Source organism: Homo sapiens, chromosome 20 (genome assembly GCF_000001405.40).
Source record: "Homo sapiens chromosome 20, GRCh38.p14 Primary Assembly".
Lineage (NCBI taxonomy): Eukaryota > Metazoa > Chordata > Mammalia > Primates > Hominidae > Homo > Homo sapiens.
This window is the reverse complement of record NC_000020.11, coordinates 32,872,927-32,886,860: the sequence shown is the minus strand read 5'-3', so window position 1 is coordinate 32,886,860 and position 13,934 is coordinate 32,872,927. Positions and strand designations below refer to the sequence as shown.

Genomic DNA, 13,934 nt, shown 5'->3' with positions numbered 1-13,934 from the left:
GTCTCCATCTGCATGACAGTGGGTGTGTGGTCCTGGGAGGCCTACTCCTGCCAAAGCGGCCCCTCCAGGAAGAATCCAGGCCTGCTGCGCCTTCCCAGAGAGCCTTCCTCTGTCCCCTTCAGCCTTTGGAGGTGCTTTGGTGACCATGTAGCAGCCACAAGCAGGAGCTCTGTCTGCAACACACCCTGCCCCAGTCCACACACAGAAAGGTAAGGTGGATGGCTATGGAAGCCACAGCCTCAGGATGGTGATCGTGACTCCCCCTTGGTGCACCAAGGAGAGCCATGGGACCCCACAGACCCTAGTTCCACCCAGGCCTCTTCTTCCCCAAAGGATGAGCCCTGATGCAACTGTGAATCACTCTGCAGTTACACAGGCTCAGAAAGCCCTTCATCTGGGGGCTGTGTTCTCAATCAACCTTTCTGTAGAGCCCTGGAGAGCAGTGCTTTCCTCGTCTGCTGGAGGATTCTGGACGGCCCTGGCGACCAAGTACACAGTGGGTTCTCCTGAGCATCTTCTCACTTACTACTCTCAGCCAAGAGCTGGCAGCACAAAGACAATATATCCAGCAGGGACTTGCTGCGTGCCCTGCCCTGCCCCAAGCACTACACATGTATTATGTCATCATGTGTTCCCAAAAGGACTGTAAAGAAGCACTGTAACTAGCCCCATTTGACAGATGGGAAAACTGAGGCACAGGGAGTATATAGTACCTTGTCCAGGTCACAGAGCTTGCAGGTGGTACAGTTAGGACTCTGACCCTGGGATTTGGGCTCCAGAGCCCATGCTCATAACCACTATGATTTCCTGCCTGGACTAGGCAAAAGGCCTGAATCGGTAGGACGTGGGGACAGCGTGGGAGTGGCTGACCCCTAGCACAGGAGTCTTGGGGATGACAATGCCATTCACTGAGATGGGGACGCAAGAGAAGGAAACCTGGTGGGCAGGGACAGCTAAAGGGACACCTGTTTGGGCTAATGGATTTGAGGGGCCTGTGAGACACCCACAGGGAATGGACATCCAGGTGGAATCCTGCTTAGCAGAAGGGAAATGTGTGGCTCCCACAGTGAAGCCAAGTCAGGACCCAGGTGCTGTGACTGCAAGTCCAGGCTGCTTAGACCATGAATCTGCCTGGCTCCAGGTCACCTTCACCATGGGGGTGCTAAGGCAGAGGCTCTCCAATCACCCATGTGTGCACCATGTGTAGGGGCCCCACTCACCCTAAAGGAGCTCATCAGCGAGAAGGACTCAGACCAGAACTGCAGGATCCCGTCTTTGGTGACAGTCAGGAAACACCCGATCTTCTTGAACCGGTGGATTAAAAACACCACCTTCACCACCTCACAGCCATGGTTCCTGTGGGAGGCGATGAAAGAGAGAAGAGCCCAAGCAAAAACAGCTCAGGGAGGGGGCACCTGCGGCAGAACAGAGAGCCACCGAGGAGGAGGGACAAAAGCCGGCGGAGCGTCACGCACACGCACGCACATGCGCACGCCATAAACCCATAGCTGGCTCTTCCAAGCGGGTTTCTACTGGATCATCAACAGTGGCCAAAAGAAAAAGGGCCCCACGTAGAAGCTGATATGAGGCGGGGCTCCAGAAGTGAGAAGCAGCAGGCTTATCCTGCGAAGTAGCCAGCCAGCCTCCTCGCGACGTGATGGGACAGAGGAGACAGAACGGAGGTTGTTCGCAAAGCTTCTATCATAGGAAAAACTGCCCAGGAGAGGGTGAGCAGAGTGGAGCCTGAGGCTGAAAACTGAGAAACAGCACTTTCTAGCAACTGCTCTAGTGCTCTGGGGTAGAGGGGGGAACAGAACCGAAGGATGAAATCAAAGTGGACAAGGAGCAGTGGGGAATTAGGGTCCCACACACCAAACCTACAGCCAACAGCTCCGGGGGCAGGCCTGGCCTCGCAGGAGGCCGCCCTTGAGCATTCATACAGGCTTTGATGCTCCCCTCTGTGGGTTGCTTCCCTGCACCCAAGTGGGCTAAGCCAGCTATCTGGCCATTGAGAGTCCCTGCCACTCCAGCTTCCCAACATGGCATGGCATGGCACACACTCTCCTACTTGATCTGCCCAATCTTTGAGCCCTGGCAGAGCAGGTGATATTACCTCATCCTACAGGGGCCCAGGGAATAATCATTTGCCTGGAGTTATGTCCTATTTACTAGCAGGGCTGGAACTAGAACCTAGGCACTGTGACCCCTCCTCCAGGGCCCTTTCCAAATCCGGTAGGCCTGGTCTGACCCTGGGCTTAAGGATAACCCAAGCCACTGTGAAAATTCAACTGCCATTACCATCTCTGCAGAAGAGCAAGGGAAACGTGTCTGGACACGGTTCTCCTCTCTCCTATCCTCAGCCCATGGCTCTGGGTAGATTGTGATGAATATTCTCAGTTGCCCTCTCATCTCTTCCAACCCTGCCACTTCTGTCAGGGCCAAAGACTGTGCAGAATGGGATGATAGGTGACAGCTAGGAAAAGGGAAGACAGCCCTAAGGACAGGCCATCTCAGGGAGGACTTGGTTTCCTCACCTGCATGATGACAGCACCTGCACCTCCTAGGGCTGTGATGGGATCAGATGAGAGGCTGCATTTGGTGCACCCGGCCCAGGCTCAGTAAAGGTAAGCCAATGTTTTAAGTTACTCTTTCATGAAGGTAATTAAATATTACTCATTTATTTTCCCCACCAAGTTGGAAATGCTCTCCGGGTTTGTAGGTTGAACAAATAAATAGGAGAATATAGGAACAAGCCTCTTGACATTCTGTTTCAGGACCTTTAAACACCCTTGAGATCTAAATGGCCCAAAGAAATAGAAAGACCTGACCGGGCAGAGTGGCTCACGCCTGTAATCCCAGCACTTTGGAAGGCTGAGGTGAGTGGATCACTTGAGGTCAGGAGGATTACTTGAGGTCAGGAGGCGGGCAGACCACTTGAGGTCAGGAGTTCAAGACCAGCCCGGCCAACGTGGTGAAACCCCATCTCTACTAAAAATACAAAAATTAGCCAGGTGTGGTAGCACACGCCTGTAGTCCCAGCTACTCAGGAGGCTGAGGCAGGAGAATCGCTTGAACCCGGGAGACAGAGGTTGCACTGAGCCAAGATTGCGCCACTGCACTCCAGCCTGGGTGACAGAGTGAGACTCCGTCTCCAAAAAAAAAAAGAAATAGACCAGTGAAGGCTTGACCTTATTAAGCAATGTGTTCATGCCAAAATGTACAGTTATGTATTTGAACATACTTCATGTTCAAATGGTTGCTTTTATCTGATTGTATCATGGGAATGAACACTATATCTAATTAGGGAATGTCTCCCCTTCCTACTGCTATAAAACAGAGGTATGTAAATCGCCATTCAAGCTATATGAACTGGACATGCTACATGGGAACCAGTAAGATTGCCCAGGCCCACACAGTGCAGAGTAGAAGCTAGAGAGCTGGCAGGGACAAATTCTCCACTGGATAGCCCTCTGTGGAGCATTTCCTGGGGCTTACGACAAAAGCCTGTAAGCGCCTCCCGGCAACAGCTACTGGGACTTTGGACTAGGGAATGTCCTCTTGAGGGGCATTTACTACCTTGTTATGGGACATTAACTGAAGCTACCCCTACGACTGAAGGATATAAAATTATCTTGAAACCTGAAATACCCAGATGTCTTGGGTGATATCAGAGAAATGCTCTAATGGGGCCTACAGAGGCCAGAAATTCCATAATAAAATGGAAATGGTTGGCCAGGCGCAATGACTCACACCTGTAATACCAGCACTTTGGGAGGCCAAGGCAGGTGGATCACCTGAGATCAGGAGTTCAAGATCAGCCTGGCCAATACGGTGAAATCCCGTCTCTATTAAAAATACAAAAACTAGGCCAGGCGCGGTGGCTTACGCTTGTAATCCCAGCACTTTGGGAGGCCGAGGCGGGCAGATCATGAGGTCAGGAGATTGAGACTATCCTGGCTAACATGGTGAAACCCCGTCTCTACTAAAAATGCAAAAAAATCGCTGGGCATGGTGGTGGGCGCCTGTAGTCCCAGCTACTCGGGAGGCTGAGGCAGGAGAACGGCATGAACCCGGGAGGCAGAGCTTGCAGTGAGCCGAGATTGCACCACTGCACTCCAGCCTGGGCGACCGAGCAAGGCTCTGTCTCAAAACAACAACAACAACAACAAAAAATCGGCCAGGCGTGGTGGCGGCCACCTGTAATCCCAGTTACTCGGGAGGCTGAGGCAAAAGAATCACTTGAACCCAGGAAGTGGAGGTTGCAGTGACCTGAGATGATGCCACTGCATTCTAGCCTGGGCCACAGAGCAAGACCTTGTCTCAAAAATAAAATCCCAAAAAATAAATACAATAAAATGGAAATGGTTTACTCAGCATCTTGCTACCTGGGGAATGCAAGCAAGAGATACTCACAGGCTATGAGCCTCTTTACCCCAGGACTGATTCCGGAACTGTGTGAGGTGCTGCTGGGTTCTGTCGACACTTGGACAGTGTGCCGTGAACAGCTATCAAGTGACCAACGAGGAAATGCTGGGTTTACAGTTTCAAAGTGAATGGACGATATTCTGTTTGGAGGGCTGCCACTTGCAGCAAAGAAGGTAGAAACTGATCAGCCTCAGTGGGCTGAATTGCATTTGCATGCTGTTTTTTTTTTTCTTTTTGAGACGGAGTTTTCATTCTTGTTGCCCAGGCTGGACAGCAATGGCGCAATCTCGGCTCACTGCAACCTCTGCCTCCTGGGTTCAAGCAATTCTCCTGTCTCAGCCTCCCGAGTAGCTGGGATTACAGGTGCCTGCCACCACATCCAGCTAATTTTTGTATTTTTAGTAGAGACAGGGTTTCACCATGTTGGCCAGGACTCCTGACCTCAGGTAAGCCACCCACCTTGGCCTCCCAAAGTGCTGGGATTACAGGTGTGAGCCACCATGCCTGGGCAGGGATAATTTCTAAGCAAGAAACAGTCACCATGTTTTAAAACGTTGTCAGAATTCCCTAAGGGCCTGATGGGGGTGGATTGCGCCTTCATCCCATCTGGCAAAATGGGGGTTAAAAATAAATACAGCTATATTGTCTCATGGTAAAAATGGCTCGCGAGTTTGGAACTCGTGTAACCCTATTCTCTATGAATGAGAATGGACTGAGGGGAGGCACTCGCTACAGTAGCTTTGCTACCAATGATCCAGATAGGCACAGTGGCTGAACCCGATGTCCCTTGCAAAGGAGGAAAAGTTTGGGTAAAAATAAATGACAAATGGAGAAAAGGAGGAATACTAGCTGAGGGTAAAGATTAATAAATGGATTAAATGGAGAGAAATCCAGTATTACACCAACAACTCGAAGGAGTTCTCAGAGCAAGAGATGACTGGCTGGATGCGGTGGCTCACGCCTGTAATCCCAACACTTTGGGAGGCCGAAGTGGATGGATCACTTGAGGTCAGGAGTTCGAGACCAGCCTGGTCAACATGGTGAAACTCCATCTCTACTAAAAACATAGAAATTAGCTAGGCATGGTAGCAGGTGCCTGTAATCCCAGCTACTTGGGAGGCTGAGGCAGAAGAATCACTTGAACCCGGGAGGCAGAGGTTGCAGTGAGCTAAGACCGCACCACTGCATTCCATCCTGGGCAACAAGAGCAAAACTCCATCTCAAAAAAGAAAAAAAGAAAAGAGAGATGACATTGTCTCTTAGCTCAATGATTCCAGATGCCTGAGAGGTTTATTTGCCAAGCCAACTCCGGCTTTTGGAACCTGACAAGATTGAAAGGAAGCCTACAAACCTGAATGGCCTCAGCCTGGGAGACATTCATATACTATGATGGATGGGATGAATTATTAATGACTAAATGGGACTCTAGGAATGTGCCAGTATCTTTTGAGTTGTGTATTCTTTTGCTATAAGGGAGCTGTGTTCTCTATGTTCAAAAACCAGGAGTGGGGGCCTGTGGTGTTTTATATATATATATGTTTTGCCCACAGTTCCTAACTCCCACAGCCCCAGAGTCCTGCCCTATGCCCTAGGGGCAGGAATGCTGATGTCATGAAGCTTCCACTAAAAACCCCAGAGGACTGGGTTCTGAGAGCTTCCCTATGGCTGAACACACGGAGGTTCCTGAAGCTTGTGCATCCCTCTCCCCATACCTCGCCCTACACATCTGTTCATCTGTATCCTTTGTAATATTCTTTATAATAAACCAGTAAATGTTTAAAAAATACAGTTATGAAATCTCTTATCATTCATATTTATTGGTTATTTCTCAATTAAATCCCAACCAAAATTTTGTTTTAAGTTATTGCCGGGTACAGTGGCTCACACCTATAATCCTAGCAGTTTGGGAGGCCAAGGTGAGCGGATTACTTGAGGCCCCAAGTTCACAAACAGCCCAGCCAACACAGTGAAACCCCATCTCTATTAAAAATACAAAAAAATTAGTCAGGCATGGTGGCAGGCGTTCGTAATCCCAGCTACTTGGGACGCTGAGGCGGGAGAATCGCTTGAACCCGGGGGGCGGAGGTTGCAGTGAGCCAAGATCAAGCCATTGCACTCCAACCTGGGCAACTGAGTGAGACTCTGTCTCAAAAAAAAAAAAAAGTTACCCTTGGGTGACTTTCATTCAAGCCGCCTTCTCTATTAAACCCCAGGCTGCCTGAGGACCGGGGCTGCCTTCCAGCTCTTTGACTTCCCCGTGGCCTGGTCTGGGTCTGGTCCTCTTAGGACAGACCCACCCACAGCTCCCTCCTGACCTGGTCACAAATGTAGGCTGCCACACCTTGTATCTCAGGACCCAGCTCCCTGCCTGGCCACCTGCCCCAGGCAGCAGTGCTCCAGGGTGGACTGCAGGAAGGGATCCAGTGACCCGGGCAGCCCAGGCCCAGCAGGTCAGAGCCCCTGCAATGCTCCTCATGCTTAGGGAGTCCAGGGGGAGGAACACACAGCGAGGCAGATCAACCCCTGGCACAGACAGAAGAGGTTGAGGGGTCTGAGAGATGCTACCCCCAAATAGGGCACCGCAGCATACTGAGTCTGTTAAACTAAAGGAATTTGAGAAGCAGTATGTTCAGGAAGGACTGTCTGACCTTCCCCTGAAGCCGGTCATAAGACTCATGTGAGGGGTGCCCAAAGACACAGGGACACGGACAAGAATCTGAACTAACGTCCTTGCTATTTCCGCCATGTATTACGCTTGGCTCATCGCCCCTCTGTCCTATCTTATTTTTCCACAGCTTTCCACCCTCCATTGAACCTAGCATGAAAACCCTCAGGTTATCTGTTTCTTAGGGGCTTCATTTCCTACAGAGGCTCCCGTGTCATGTAAAACTTATATTAAATAAACTTGTATGCTTGTCCTTGTGACTCTGTCTTCGCTTAGAGAGGTCCCTGCCAATGAACCTCAGATGGGTAGAGGGAAAAGACAGTTTTCCTCCCCTGCAAAGCAAGGGTTCAGTGGGCACAGCGGGTGGAGGAGCCACGAGGAGGAGGAGTGAGCAGAGCGGTCAGGCAGAAGCCAAGGCAGGGTGGTGCCACCAGCTCCAGGAGTAACAGAGGGACCTACTCCCGGGGCCAGCCACTCTGAGGCCTCCAGGGCCTGGCTGGGGGCTTGAGGAGCAATTCCCTTCCTGTTGCCTGGGAGGAAACTCCTATTCCTGCCTGTGCTGGCCACCTGTGCCACCTGTGCCCCTATGATGAAACTGCCAGACCCACTCTGCACCAACTAGCACAGGAAGCAGGTGAAGCAATGCTGTATACTGGGGAATGGGGGCTGAGAGGGCCAAACACAGCAGCCCGCCACTTTCTACCTATTGGCCTGGGGCCAGCCATTTGACCTCTCCAGACCTCAGTGGCCTCATCTATAAAATGGGGACAAATCACGTACCTTAGTCCTAACACTTACAGGGCTGTGAGGTTGAAATGAGCCAAAGGACATCAGGCAGCAGGCTGATGCCAGCCCCTGGTCAGCACCAGCAAGGTCACGGATTGAGGGAGGGGCTCACTGCAGGCTGGCACCAGCACTTGTCCAGTCACCCCACCCACCAAGGCCCAGGAAGAGGCTCCTTACAGGGGGACGACCGTCATGGGAAGGTAGAAGTGCAGGCGGTACTGGCTCTTTCGCATGTCCTCTTTTCCCTGGAACTCACGCATCATGTAATCCACATACTTTTGCTGCCTCGAAAGAAAGCACAAGGGAGGCAGGGTATTGGCAAAATGGTCTCAGCCTTCAGTTTCAAGAACTCGGCAGGAGAATGGCGTGAACCCGGGAAGCGGAGCTTGCAGTGAGCCGAGATTGCGCCACTGCAGTCCGCAGTCCGACCTGGGCGACAGAGCGAGACTCCGTCTCAAAAAAAAAAAAAAAAAAAAGAACTCAAGCCTGATTCCCAGGGTCCCCCTCACCACCCCATCTCTCCCAGGCCCTTCCGATAGGCTCTGGTGGCTGCTTCCCAAGTACTGGCCAGGGCAGGTGGCCAAGCAACAGACCTGCTCTTTCTCTGTTTGTCACTCAGGCTGGAGTGCAGTGGTGTGATCACAGTTTATTGCTCAGCCTCCCAAAGTGCTGGGATTATAACCATGAGCCACCACACCCGGCCTTTTTTTTTTCCTTTTGGGACAGGGCCTTGCTCTGTCACCCAGGCTGGAGTGCAATGGTGTGATCACAGCTTACTGCAGCCTCAATCTCCCAGGCTCAAGTGATCCTCCCACCTCAGCCTCCTGAGTAGCTGGGACCACAAATGCATGCCACAATTCCCAGCTAATTTTTGTATTTTTTGTAGAGATGGGGTTTCGCCATGTTGCCCAGGCTGGTCTCGAACTCCTGGGCTCAAGTGGTCTGCCAAAGTTCTAGGATTAAAGGTGTGAGCCACTGCGCTTGGACAGCAGACCTGTTCTTGAATCCTGAGTATGGGAAGGGCCTACTCGCAGCATTCACTGAAAGAGCACAGCAGCGTCTCCCTCGCCGTCCTGAGGCGCTAAGTGCATCCTCAGATCACCCCCACAACTGGCATCACCCTGGGAGCTCTTTATTCACTCTCCCCTATGGATAATAAAACTCAGGCCCCTGTAAGGATGTGAGATGCCCATGCTCAAACATCAAGTTAACAGCAGGGAGCACCCACACCAGGGCCACTGGCGCAACTCCAGACTCCATTCCACTGCCCAGCTGCTGGAAAACATGGCCAAGGCCCAAAGCAGCCACCATATGAAGCTGTAACAAGAAACGGGGTTGTAAACAAGGACCACTGGGTAAAGCCCTGAGAATGCTAGGAATGCGAGGGGGTTAAATTGCTTTTTATTCTTTTTCTTTCAGTTGGCCTCATTGTTCTAAAGGAAATGTTTATTATAGAACATTAAGAGAAATAAAAACCGCCAAGTGCAATGGCTCACACCTGTAATCCCAGCACTTTGGGAGGCTGAGGCAGGTGGATTACCTGAGGTCAGGAGTTCCAGGCCAGCCTGGCCAACATGGTGAAACCCCGTTTCTACTAAAAATACAAAAATTAGCCAGGTGTGGTGGTGGGTGCCTGTAATCCCAGCTACTCGGGAGGCTGAGGCAGGAGAATCACTTGAACCTGGGAGGCAGAGGTTGCAAAGAGCCAAGATCGTGCCATTGCACTCCAGCCTGGGCGACAGAGCAAGACTCCATCTCAAAAAAAAAAAAAAAAAAAGAAAGAAATAAATAAAAACAAGAAAATTGAGAAGAAGAAAACCCAGAATGTATACCTATGCTGAGGAGAGCTATGAGACGGCAGTTAACGCAGGGACTCTCAAGGCACCCTCCCTGGTTTGAATACTGGCTCCAGTGCTGATGAGTCTGAAGCCCTGGGCAAACTCCTAACTTCCCCATGCCTCAGTTTCCCAATCTGTCAAATGGAGGTAAGTTTTTTGTTTTGTTTTGTTTTTTTCCTGAGACATGGTCTCACTTTGTCACCCAGGCTGGAGTACAGTGGTGCAATCTCAGCTCACTGCAGCCTCAACCTCCTGGGCTCAAACAATCCTCCCAGCTCAGCTCCACAAATAGCTGGGACTATAGGCGTGCACCACCACACCCGTTTAATTTTTGGTATTTTTTGTAGAGACAGGGTTTTACCACGTTACCCAGGCTGGTCTTGAACTCCTGAGCTCAAGCGATCCACCCCCCTTGGCCTCCCAAAGTGCTAGGATTACAGGCATGAGCCACTGTGCCCGGCCGAAATAGAGGTAAGTAATAGCACCTACCCCATAGGATTCCTATGAGGTTTAAGTAAAATAATACATAGAGAGCTTAGCACAGTGCTTGGTGTAAATGCTAGTTATCATTGTCATCTTTGCTACATCAATTTGTCAGACTATCCTTGGTACTTTTCTGTATGCTTAAAAAGCTGTATATTCCCATTGTCGAACGTTTAGAACCAGAAAAACATGAAAGCATTATTATTATGATGCTGTAAAAGCCTGACACTTTTAGATGTAACAGCCACAGGCTGGCCTATTCCTGAGTGACAGTGAAGGGTCATGAGATGGTCGTGGTACCAGCTTGAATCCCCCAAGCCAAATGGGAGGTTGGTGGGCACCACAGCCGCGTGGCAGGTGGGGTCACCGCTGCACACTCAGTAGGTCTCACACAGGGGCCAACGACACTTGTCCCTGGGGAATGAGCTGCCAGGAACTCAGCTCACACAGGTCTTAGGAGGGACGTCTCCACCAGGCAAGTCCCCCGACTGGGGCCAGAATCCACAGGGAGGCTTTCCCACATCGTGATGGCCTCCCATCTTCAGCCCCACCAACTGGTCAAGGACTGGACCCTCCAGCCTCCCTCCAGCACCTGAGGAAGCAGGGGCACCCTCCTCACCCAGGTGACAAAGCCTTCACAGTCCGAGTCCACCTTCAAAAACAGCTCCTTTAGCATCTCGTCCGACACACTGCTCAGAACCTTCTTCATGGCCTTGATGAAGGCGTCCATGCCCAGGGCTTCAAAGAGAGAACAGAGAGCATCATCCCCTTCCTCACAAGTCCCTCGGCCCATCACTGCCACGGAGTTCTCAAGTGTCTGGGTGCTGAGGGGGACACACTGAAGACCACATCTACGGCCAGGCGCGGTGGCTCATGCTTGTAATTCCAGCACTTTGGGAGGCTGAGGCAGGTGGATCACTTGAGGTCAGGAGTTCAAGACCAGCCTGATCCACATGGTGAAACCCTGTCTCTACTAAAAATACAAAAATAAATTGGCTGGGCACAGTGGTGGGTACCTGCAATCCCAGCTACTTGGGAGGCTGAGGCAGGAGAATCCCTTGAACTCAGGAGGCAGAGGTTGCAGTGAGCTGAGATCGCACCACTGCACTCCAGCCTGGGCAACAAGAGAGAAAACTCTGTCTCAAAAAAAAAAAAAAAAAACCACCATGTTTACCAGGTGTGCTCAGTTCAAGGCAGTCTTGGTGCTGCCTCCCCTACGGTCCTCAGCTGGTCCACTGCAGGGGGCACAGAAGGGAGATGGCTCCAGCCAAAGACGGGGCCCTTAGGAGGCTGCCTCCTCCAGCCCCTCAAACCTCAAATCCAGCCCCTCTTGGCCCTGTCTCCCCTCCTCACATCTCAGCATCCACCCCAGCCACCCCAGGCTAGGCCAATTCCGGACGCTTCTGTCCTCACATGGTTATCTTTTGCATCTTATCTGCTCAACATTCAACCACCCCACAAGTCCTGGCTGAAAACCCGCCATATGGGAGCACTGTGTTGGTCCCACAGCAGTGTGGGGAGGGGAGGCACTAAAAAAGACCAACTCCCATTTCCATACAATTAACAAAGAGGAAGGATTGAGACAAAGAAAACTCTCCAAAGAAAAGGAGAACCAGGCCAGGCACGGTGGCTCACGCCTGTAATCCCAGCACTCTGGGAGGCAGAGGCGGGAAGATCACCTGAGGCTAGGAGTTCGAGACCAGCCTGACCAACATGGCAAAACCCTGCCTCTACTAAAAAATACAAAAAGTTAGCCAGGCATGGTGGCACATGCCTGTAATCCCAGCTACTTGGGAGGTTGAGGCAGGAGAATCGCTTGAATCCAGGAGGCAGAGGTTGCAGTGAGCCGAGATCACACCAACGCACTCCAGCCTGGGCAACAGAGCCAGACTCTGTCAGAAAGAAAGGAAGAAAGAAAATAAATATTTAAATATTTTTAAAAACAAAAACAAAAATTAGCCATGTTTGGTGGCGTGTGCCTGTAATCCCAGCTACTTGGGAGGCTGAGGCACAAGAATCACTTGAACCCAGGAGGCAGAGGTTGCAGTGAACCGAGATTGCACCACTGCACTCCAGCCTGAGCGACCGAGTGAGACTGTCTCAAAAAAAGAAAAAGGAAAGAAAATAAAAGTAGAAGCAAGGCCAGGCACAGTGGCTCATGTCTGTAATTCCAGTGCTTTGGGAGGCTGAGGTATGAGGATCACTTGAGATCAGGAGTTCAAGACCAGGCTGGGAAACATAAGGAGACCCAATCTACAAAAAAAATTTTTTAAATTAGCCAGGTGTAGTGGCGTGAGCCTGTAGTCCCAGCTGGTCGAGAGACTGAGGTGGGAGGATGGCTTGAACCCGGGAGGCAGAGGCTGAAGTTGGCCATGATCTTGCCACTGTACTGTAGCCTAGGTGATGGAGACAGACCTTGTCTCTAAAAAATAAATAAAATAAAGGCTGGAAGCAAGTGTTCACACCTATAATCCCAGTACTTTGGGAGGCTGAGGTGGGCAGAAGGCTTGAGCCCAGGAGTTTGAGACCAGGCTGGGCAACATGGTGAAACCGCATCTTCACAGAAAATACAAAAATTAGCCAGGCATGGTGGCACATGCCTGTAGTCCCAACTACTGGGGAGGTTGAGCTGGGAGGATTGCTTGAGCCTGAGAGGCGGAGGTTGCAGTGAGCAGAGATTTCACCACTGCACTCCAGCCTGGATAACAGAGTAAGACCCTGTCTCAATAAATAAATAAATAAAATAAAAACGAAGAAAAGAAGCAGCAGAACAAAAGTATATAATGGCAACAAATAGACATTAATAAATTCAGACATCTAGAAGGAGAGGTGAACTGCATTTTTTTTTTTTTTGGACAGAGTCTCGCTCTGTTGCCCAGGCTGGAGTACAGTGGCACAATCTCAGCTCACTGCAACCTCTGCCTCCTGGGTTCAAGCTACTTCCTGCTAATTTTTGTATTTTTAGTAGAGATGGGGTTTCATCATGTTGGCCAGGCTGCTCTCAAACTCCTGACCTCAAGTGATCCGCCCTCTCCAGCCTCCCAAAGTGCTGGGATTACAGGTGTGAGCCTACCACACCCAGCCAAACTGCATCTTCTAAAAGCAATTATCAAAATATAAACTTTGGCTGAAGGAAAAGATGGGGAGAAGAAAGGAGGAACAGGCAAGGATAGAAAATTCTCCACGTGCTGGCTGGGTCTATAAGGGGATCTGTCTGCAAATGGGTCAATAACCCCTGTCTACAACTTTTTTTTTAATAATCACAATCTTTAAAAAGTGCTTCTGGGCTGGGCACAGTGGCTCACACCTGTAATCCCAGCACTTTGGGAGGCCGAGGCAGGTGGATCACGAGGTCAAGAGATGGAGACCATCCTGGCCAACATCCTCAGAGTTCAGGGGGCTCCTTCCATAGGGAAGCCTTCCTAGGGTCTGTCTAAGGAGGCCACCCCCGCCATTGCCCAGTTCCATGGTTCTTGCTGACATTATCAGCTGACACACTGGCTTTCACTGTTTTGTGTTTTGTTTTTGTTTTTTGTTTTTAGTATTCTGTTTTGTTTTGTTTTGCTCTTTGAGATGGAGTTTTGCTCTTATTGCCCAGGCTGGAGTGCAATGGCACGATCTCGGCTCACTGCAACCTCCGCATCCTGGGTTCAAGCAATTCTCCCTGCCTCGGCCTCCCAAGTAGCTGGGATTACAGGCGCCCACCATCACACTCGGCTAATTTTTGTATTTTTAGT

The 13,934-nt window shown here is 50.7% G+C and overlaps 1 protein-coding gene across 7 annotated transcripts in view, besides 4 other annotated features; it reads right to left on the bottom strand.

Annotated features, from left to right (window-relative positions):
* The window catches only part of EFCAB8 (EF-hand calcium binding domain 8), a 102,923-nt gene that overhangs the window by 74,985 nt on the left and 14,004 nt on the right, over positions 1 to 13,934 (bottom strand). For 6 of the 7 annotated variants that reach the window (NM_001143967.2, XM_024451883.2, XM_024451882.2 and 3 more), the window contains exons 4-6: positions 10,817 to 10,935; positions 8,054 to 8,157; positions 1,221 to 1,356 (exon numbers count right to left, since the gene is read on the bottom strand). In NM_001143967.2, the coding sequence (NP_001137439.1) occupies positions 1,221 to 1,356; positions 8,054 to 8,157; positions 10,817 to 10,935 (359 nt within the window). Of the gene's footprint in view, positions 1 to 1,220; positions 1,357 to 8,053; positions 8,158 to 10,816; positions 10,936 to 13,934 lie in introns of those variants that run through there. The other variant, XM_024451881.1, reaches the window with a different exon arrangement.
* Positions 6,727 to 6,904: a silencer, noted in NCBI's record as "fragment chr20:31467763-31467940 (GRCh37/hg19 assembly coordinates)". NCBI's record gives its function as "represses an EF-1alpha promoter that drives an FKBP-Casp9 reporter gene in an ReSE screen in K562 erythroleukemia cells {active_cell/tissue: K562}" and the evidence as "EXISTENCE:reporter gene assay evidence [ECO:0000049][PMID:32094911]".
* Positions 9,133 to 9,302: an enhancer, noted in NCBI's record as "experimental_60089 CRE fragment used in MPRA reporter constructs". NCBI's record gives its function as "activates a minimal promoter by MPRAs in K562 erythroleukemia cells, with activity observed for both the introgressed and non-introgressed 20:31465450 variant alleles {active_cell/tissue: K562}" and the evidence as "EXISTENCE:reporter gene assay evidence [ECO:0000049][PMID:34662402]".
* Positions 10,139 to 11,108: an enhancer, noted in NCBI's record as "H3K27ac-H3K4me1 hESC enhancer chr20:31463559-31464528 (GRCh37/hg19 assembly coordinates)". NCBI's record gives its function as "activates a minimal SCP1, AML or CMV promoter by ChIP-STARR-seq in primed H9 embryonic stem cells {active_cell/tissue: H9 hESC(primed)}" and the evidence as "EXISTENCE:reporter gene assay evidence [ECO:0000049][PMID:30033119]".
* Positions 11,109 to 12,079: an enhancer, noted in NCBI's record as "H3K27ac-H3K4me1 hESC enhancer chr20:31462588-31463558 (GRCh37/hg19 assembly coordinates)". NCBI's record gives its function as "activates a minimal SCP1, AML or CMV promoter by ChIP-STARR-seq in primed H9 embryonic stem cells {active_cell/tissue: H9 hESC(primed)}" and the evidence as "EXISTENCE:reporter gene assay evidence [ECO:0000049][PMID:30033119]".